Source organism: Homo sapiens, chromosome 2, assembly GCF_000001405.40.
Source record: "Homo sapiens chromosome 2, GRCh38.p14 Primary Assembly".
Lineage (NCBI taxonomy): Eukaryota > Metazoa > Chordata > Mammalia > Primates > Hominidae > Homo > Homo sapiens.
Window position 1 is genome coordinate 3,524,166 of NC_000002.12, and position 7,647 is coordinate 3,531,812.

Genomic DNA, 7,647 nt, shown 5'->3' on the forward strand with positions numbered 1-7,647 from the left:
TGTACCATGTCGTGGCTCTCTTGGGCACGGAGAGCTGAGCCCATCACTGACTTTGCACCATGAGGGCAGTGCTCAACACAGAGAAGAAGGTACATGTCATCCTGGCATTGTGAGACAAATAGTTTTGACTTCAAACATCTCCATACTGTAAGAACCACAGCTCTCATCTTTTTTGTTCAGGGTACTTTAGGTTGCAGGTGACAGAAATCCAACAAGTTGGCCAGGCGCGGTGGCTCATGCCTGTAATCCCAGCACTTTGGGAGGCCGAGGCGGGCAGATCGCAAGGTCAGGAGTTCGAGACCAGCCTGACCAACATGGTGAAACCCTGGGTATGGTGGTGCACACCTGTAATCCCAGCTATTCAAGAGGCTGAGGCAGGAGAGTCACTTGAACCCGGGAGGTGAAGGTTGCAGTGAGCCAAGATTGCGCCACTGCACTCCAGCCTGGGCGACAGAGTGAGACTCCATCTCAAAAAAAGAAAAGTCCAAGTTACCTAAGCAAACAAACGGGAACAAAGATATGTTGGATCACATAAATGAGAAGGGTTAGAGCAGAACGCACCTTGGGCATGGCAGGATTCAGGGCTGAAAGTATGTTAACAGCTCTGTCTATGTCTCTTTGTCTCTATCTTCTCCATATGTGTGTGTCTCTCTCTTCACTTAGCTTTTCTTCTCTTCTCTCCCTCTTTCTGCCCCCTTTTCTCCCTCCTGTCTCTCTTCCTCCCTCTGTCTCTCCTTCTCTCTTTCTCTCTCTCCTCCCTATCTCAACCCTCTTTTCTCTGTGCCTTGTCTGAATACTCAGCTACTAAAAAGAGCTCTCTGCATGGGTCAGAAAACAGCCGCCAGTAGCTCTAAGACTGCACTTGCTTGCAATTCAAGGCAAAAGAGCTCTGTTATGTAATGATGGGATATCCAGTCTCATGGGAGATTCCAGACTGCAAGCCCTTTAGATCTCTCTGGGAGCCCGAGGTGCAGACTCCACTACCCTGGGCCTGGCCGGGTGCCCAGTCTGGGAGGTGCTCTGCCTGGCAGCCCCTCAGCCCCACGACTGGTCAGGGAGAGGGGCGGTGGAAGGGCAGACCGACAGGCCAGACGTCCATGACAAATACTAAGCTGCCAAGGTGTCCTACTGGTGAGTGTTTCCAACAGCTTGCAAGTGAAAGAGACGAGCAAAGCTGCTCTCAATGCCACGACTTCAGGTCTCATACCCTCCTGGCTGTTCCCTGTTGAACCCAGTCTGAGTGCTGCCAGGGCAGACACCATTCTGTGGAGGAGGCTGAGTCTACACCACTCTTCCTGGGAGGGCCAAAACTGACTTAATGTCTTCTAAATGGAACAGCCTGAAGGGCTTGCTGGGAAATAGAGAAAACAGTAAGGGACCAGAGGTATGATAAATAATGGAAGACGGGTGGATGGCTAGAAGCTGCGGAGGAGCACCTGGGTAAAAAGGGTTGTTTCAGGAGCAGTTGACAGCTGACAGCTAAGAATATAGTATGTTTGCAGTGAAAGCAAGGGTGTCTCTATAAATAAGCCTGGGGTTAACACTAAGACCTGTGTAATGACAACCAGTGAGACTGTCCCAGACCCTACAAGTCAAGGAAGGCAGGCAGGTTCACAGATGATACCTAAAATGACAGGAGACTGTAATAGATTCCTGTATCAGAGTCACGCCTAGTACTGCACATGAAAAAAAACCACTTCCAGAATACCGTTCCCAATTAGGGTAGCAAGTGTTGATAATTATTGAAGGTAGGTGACAGAGGTATTTGGATGGTCAACAAACCATTCTCTTGTGTATTTCAAATTTTTTGAAAATTTTCAATTTTAAAAAAGTTATGTTATCTATAGGCCGGGCGCCGTGGCTCACGCCTGTAATGCCAACACTTTAAGAGGCTGAGGCACATGGATCACCTGAGGTCAGGAGTTTGAGATCAGCCTGGCCAACATGGTGAAACCCCGTCTCTACTAAAAATACAAAAATGAGCTGGGAATGGTGGTGGGCACCTGTAATCCCAGCTACTCGGGAGGCTGAGGCAGGAGAATCGCTTGAACCTGGGAGGCAGAGGTTGCAGTGAGCCGAGATCATGTCATTTCACTCCAGCCTGGGTGATAGACCACGACTCCATCTCAAAAAATGATAATAATAATAATAAAAAAAGTTGTGTTCTCTATAAATCAACAAGCAACCCATCTGTGCATGTAAATTTTCTTAATTGAAAAAAGGGAGTGTGGGTATGGATTTCTTCAGAAAGAAGCAGCATATTCAGAAACAGCTGCCTGGAGGACACAGTCAGCAAAATGTGGTTGAAACTAATTAAAAGGAAAACATTTCTCTTGATCTTCATACATCTTCTTTGAAGTAAAGATGGAGGTTTTTTTCCTGGGAGAAAATGCAGGCTGGTTTACAGCATTTCAGTGAATTATGCCAGACCTCCGTGCCCCCAGGATGAAATCTAACCACATGTCCATTCCAGGGTATCTCATTCTGCATTTGTCATCATCTTCAAGGTCACACTGCCCCCAAAACGTTTCCCAAAATGTGTCTCATGTCACCTAAGTTGTGAGGTGAATAGCAAAAAGGGTTTTGAGGTTAAAAAAAAAAATGTGAGAAAACCCGGTCCTAGCTCCGTCCTGGGCAGTGGGAAGGCTTGCGATGAAGACACTGTTTCAGGTAACACAACTGTTGGCTCTTAGGGCAGAGGCATCTACTGACTCCGAAAATGTTCCATAGAACATTCTTCGGTGAACACCAATGTTGGGGGCTGGGAAGGCCAAGGCAGAGAAGCAAAAACCCAAGAAGGGCGAACGACTCGAGTCGCTTTAGGAGTCGGAGAGGTGGCTCCACGCTCCTTGGCCGAGTCACCACCAGCAGGCCGGCAGCACGGGCTCCACACACCCTGACTCCGGAGCTTGGCGTCCCGGGACACAGGGAGGGCGCAGGGCTCAGAGGCGCGCCCCCCCCCCCACCCAGCCTGCACTCTTCCCCCAGTCTGCAGGGCGCCCCCCTACCACCCCCTCAAAAGAGAAAAATCACACAGGGTGGGGCAGAGAGCGTGGCACAGGGTGGGAGCGCAGTGCTGTGTGCGCGGAAGGGGGGTTGCTGGTGTGTGGTGTGTGTATGGTGTGTTGTGTGAGGGCAGTGGTGTGTGCATATGGTATGGTGTATGTTGTGTGCTGTGTGTGATGTGTGTCTGTGGTGTGTGTGGTGTAATGCCTGTTGTATATGGTATGTGTATAGTATGTTGTGTGTTGAATGTGTGTGGTATGTGTATGTTGTGTGGTGTGTGTGATGTGTCTGTGGTGTGTGTGATGTGTGTGTATACTGTGGTGTGTGTTTGGTGTGTGTAATGCCTGGTGTACGTGGTATGTGTATAGTATGTTGTGTGTTGAATGTGTGTGGTGTGTGTATGGTGGAGTGTGTATGGTATGGTGTGTTGTGTGTGTTGTGTGGTAAGTGTGGTGTATGGCGTGTGTGGTGTGACATGGGTGTGGTGTACTGTGTCTGTGGTGTGTAGTGTGTTGTGTGGGGTGTGTGGTATAGTGTGATGTATATGTGTAGTATGGTGTGTGTATGTGGTATCTGTAGTGTAGGGTGTGATGTGTGGTGTGTGTGGTGTATGTATGGTATGTTGTGTGGTGTGTTTATGGTATGGTGTATGTGTGGTGTGTGTGATGTGTGTATGGTGTGTGGTGTGTGTTGTATGTGGTGTGTGTGGTATGTGTTGTGTGTGTTGTCTATGGTGTGTGTGGTGTGTGTGCTGTGGTGTATGTGCTGTGTGTGGTGTGTGGTGTGTATGGTGTGTTGTGTTTGTGTTGTCTATGGTGTGTGGTCTGTTGTGTGTAGTATGTGTGCTGTGTGTGTTGTGTGGTGTGTGATGGGTTTGGTGTGTGTTGTGTATGGTGTGTTATGTGTGTGTTGTCTGTGGTGTGTGTTGTGTGTGGTGTGGTGTGTGGTGTGTGTTGTGTGTGGTGTGCTGTGTGGTATGTGTTGTGTGGTGTGTATGGTGTGTGGTGTGTGGCGAATTGTGTGTTGTGTATGGTGTGTGTTGTCTGGTGTGTGGTGAATTGTGTGGTGTGTGTGGTGTGTGTGGCGTGTTGTATATGGTGTGTTGTGTGTGTGTGTGTGTGTGCGCGCGCCCTTGCGTCTGCACAGGTGCTGGAGGAGCCGTCTGCGTCTGGGGAGCTTGTGGGCCGAGGCGGTGGGAGGCTGGTGGGCGGCGGCGCAGAGTCCGGAACCGTCTGCTGAGCTCCTGGCCCAGCGCTCCTCAGCCCGCGGGGATCCCACCCTCATCTTGAGCCTCTGGGGAGGACCGAGAGTGAACGCTTCTGCAGCCGGGCTGCCTGCGGCTCTCTCGGGTGTAGGGCACAGCAGCCCGATGCCAAAGCCGGGCCTGGCTGCTCCACCTCACGGGCCACCTCAGGGGGTGTGTCACACTGAGAAACGCCGCCCGCCCGCAGAGTGACGCCTGGACCCTGGCCTCTCATCACACTAAGATCCCCGCTGAGGCCTGCGCGCTGCTCCGTGACCCTTCCTTTGTGCGCATGCCCTGCACTCTGCCCACACGTGCAGGGGCATTCACCACACTGGGGAGCTCTGCGCGTCGCCCTCCTGGAGACTGCAGTGCACGCCCCTGGGGAGCCTGCGAGCCCCCGCCCCTGTGCCACCTCCCTCGTGCCCACCTTCCCGGGCGCAGCTCTAAACGGCCTTGTCGGGGAAACTCGCCCGGCCATATGTTGACTTCTAACACGTTGAGAGCCAAGAGCCACATGGCCACATGTGGACATCACTTCCTAATGACCCGCAGGACTCCACTGCAACACGGAGCTGTCGTTTATGTAAATGCACTTCTATTGTTGCTTTTTAGATTTTTGCTGTTTGTGACTTTTATAAATAATGTTTCAAAAACATTCTTGTTCATGTTTTATCCACTTTTATTATTTACTTAAGATAAATTTTAAAACGCACCTATCTATACCTGTGCAAGACACTGTCCTGGGGGGAAGTGTGTGAAGGAGACCCAGGGCCTCCTTGCACTTTTTCTGCACCTGCCTGTGAATCGATACTTATTTAAAAATACGTAGTTTTAACATCACGTTAGCTTCAACAACGAACGGTGCTGGAACAAGTGAATATCCCACAAAATACATATGCACACGAAACTTGGCTTATCTTCTTTAATTTAGCCTGAAGGAACTAATTTTCTGAATTTAAAATGCAGAAGCTGGATTTGTAGCTTGAACCTGTGGTCCCAGCCGCTCAGGAGGCAGAGGTGGGAGGATCGCCCCAGCCCAGGAGGTCCAGGCCGCGGAGCGCGGTGATCGCGCCGCTGCACTCCAGCCTGGGCCAACACCAACCACCACACCACCACCACATGTATGTAGTTGTTTGCCATGACTGTTACTGTACAAATTGTGGAAGGAAGAAATATGTACTAAAATCTCCAGTGGGACCCGCATGTCCCTACTGACAGACATTTCAAGACACCTGAAACTCTGAAGCAGTCTCGTGATGTGCGCAAAAGGCCCCCATTCTGTGTGCCTCACGCGGGGCAAAGCTCTGGGCCTGGCGGCACTGGCCACCCTGCCAGCCTCAGGATCACCCAGGGCAAAGCATCGCCCTTCACTGCCCCTGCCCTCTGTCTCCCATCTCACCTGCCTGCACTCCTCTGTGTATGGTGCCCTGGGACACAACGCCAGCGATCTCTGAACGGGCACCCATTCTCTCCCTCCAGCCCTGTCAGTCCACTGCTGTGCCCTGGCCCGGCCCCGTTGCCACCATTGCAGTGAGCCACAGGAAGGGCCCCCACCCTGGACTGGGTGGTCCACACTGCAAATGACCCCGGCCCACAGCGGGGCTTAGGCAGGCACCATTTTCTGCTGAAATGCAAGGAATCCCTTTTCCTAAAGGCCAGAAACACATCTAACTGATGGTGCTTAGCTTGGAGGCACTCACTACCAATTTATCACCCGAATGGAAAATGTTGAGGGAGTGCTAGATGAGGCCATGAGATGTGAGACTGTGTAAGCGACACAGTGTGGGGAAGAAGGAATGAGAGTATTAGTAGTAGTACTACGGGGAAGAAGGAATGAGAGTATTAGTAGTAGTAGTATGGGGAAGAAAGAATGAGAGTTTTATTATTAGTAGGATGGGGAAGAAGGAATGAGAGTATTATTATTAGTGGGGGGGAGAAGGAATGAGAGTATTAGTAGTAGTATGGGGAAGAAGGAATGAGAGTATTATTATTAGTAGGATGGGGAAGAAGGAATGAGAGTATTATTATTAGTAGGAGGGGGAAGAAGGAATGAGAGTATTAGTAGTAGTAGTACGGGGAAGAAGGAATGAGAGTATTAGTAGTAGTAGTATGGGGAAGAAAGAATGAGAGTTTTATTATTAGTAGGACGGGGAAGAAGGAATGAGAGTATTATTAGTAGGGGGAAGAAGGAATGAGAGTATTATTATTAGTAGGGGGGAAGAAGGAATGAGAGTATTAGTAGTATGAGGAAGAAGGAATGAGAGTATTATTATTAGTAGGATGGGGAAGAAGGAATGAGAGTATTATTATTAGTAGGAGGGAAGAAGGAATGAGAGTATTAGTAGTAGTATGAGGAAGAAGGAATGAGAGTATTATTATTAGTAGGATGGGGAAGAAGGAATGAGAGTATTATTATTAGCAGGAGGGAAGAAGGAATGAGAGTATTAGTAGTAGTAGGAAGAAGGAATGAGAGTATTATTAGTAGGAGGGAAGAAGGAATGAGAGTATTAGTAGTAGTAGGAAGAAGGAATGAGAGTATTATTATTAGTAGGATGGGGAAGAAGGAATGAGAGTATTATTATTAGTAGGGGGGAAGAAGGAATGAGAGTATTAGTAGTAGTATGAGGAAGAAGGAATGAGAGTATTATTATTAGTAGGATGGGGAAGAAGGAATGAGAGTATTATTATTAGTAGGAGGGGGAAGAAGGAATGAGAGTATTAGTAGTAGGATGGGGAAGAAGGAATGAGAGTATTATTATTAGCAGATGATGGGATTGCATACCTGGAAAACTCAAGGAAATTAACAGGAAAAGTGTTAAGACACAGTAGGAGAGTAAGCAGGTATTGTTACAAAACAGTGGCTTTTCCGTATAAACAAGAACAGTTTCTAACAGCCTTAATAATTGCATTAAAAAGCAAATTAAGTTGGAACAAACTTAATATGCCCTAAAACTCTGCTGCCACCCTGTGCTTCCAGCATTTGCAGAAATTTGGATACAGCGGCTCTGTTCCTTTTGAGTCCGTGCAAAACTCAGGGACACTCTTCCAAGGACAGGATTTTCTAGCTCCCCATGATTGCGTGAGCCCAGGTGTTAGGACCAGCCTGGGCAACATAGAGAGACCCTGCCTTTACAAAAAATTTAAAAATTAGCTAGGCGTGGTGGTACACACCTGTAGTTCCAGCTACCCAAGAGGCTGAGGTGGGAGGATTGCTTGAGCCCAGGAGTTCAAGGCTGCAGTGAGCTATGATTGCTCCACTGCACTCCAGCCTGGATGACAACGTGAGGCCAAAAATAATTTCAAGAGATCATCATTAAAAAGCTGTGGGTGGGAAGTCTACAGCTATTTTAATTATAAACCTGATAGGAAAAAGTTACGTTTCCAGAAGCTGCTCA

The 7,647-nt window shown here is 48.8% G+C and overlaps 1 annotated feature.

Annotated features, from left to right (window-relative positions):
- Positions 4,441-4,500: an enhancer, noted in NCBI's record as "active region_15230". NCBI's record gives its function as "activates an Ori minimal core promoter by ATAC-STARR-seq in GM12878 lymphoblastoid cells {active_cell/tissue: GM12878}" and the evidence as "EXISTENCE:reporter gene assay evidence [ECO:0000049][PMID:35858748]".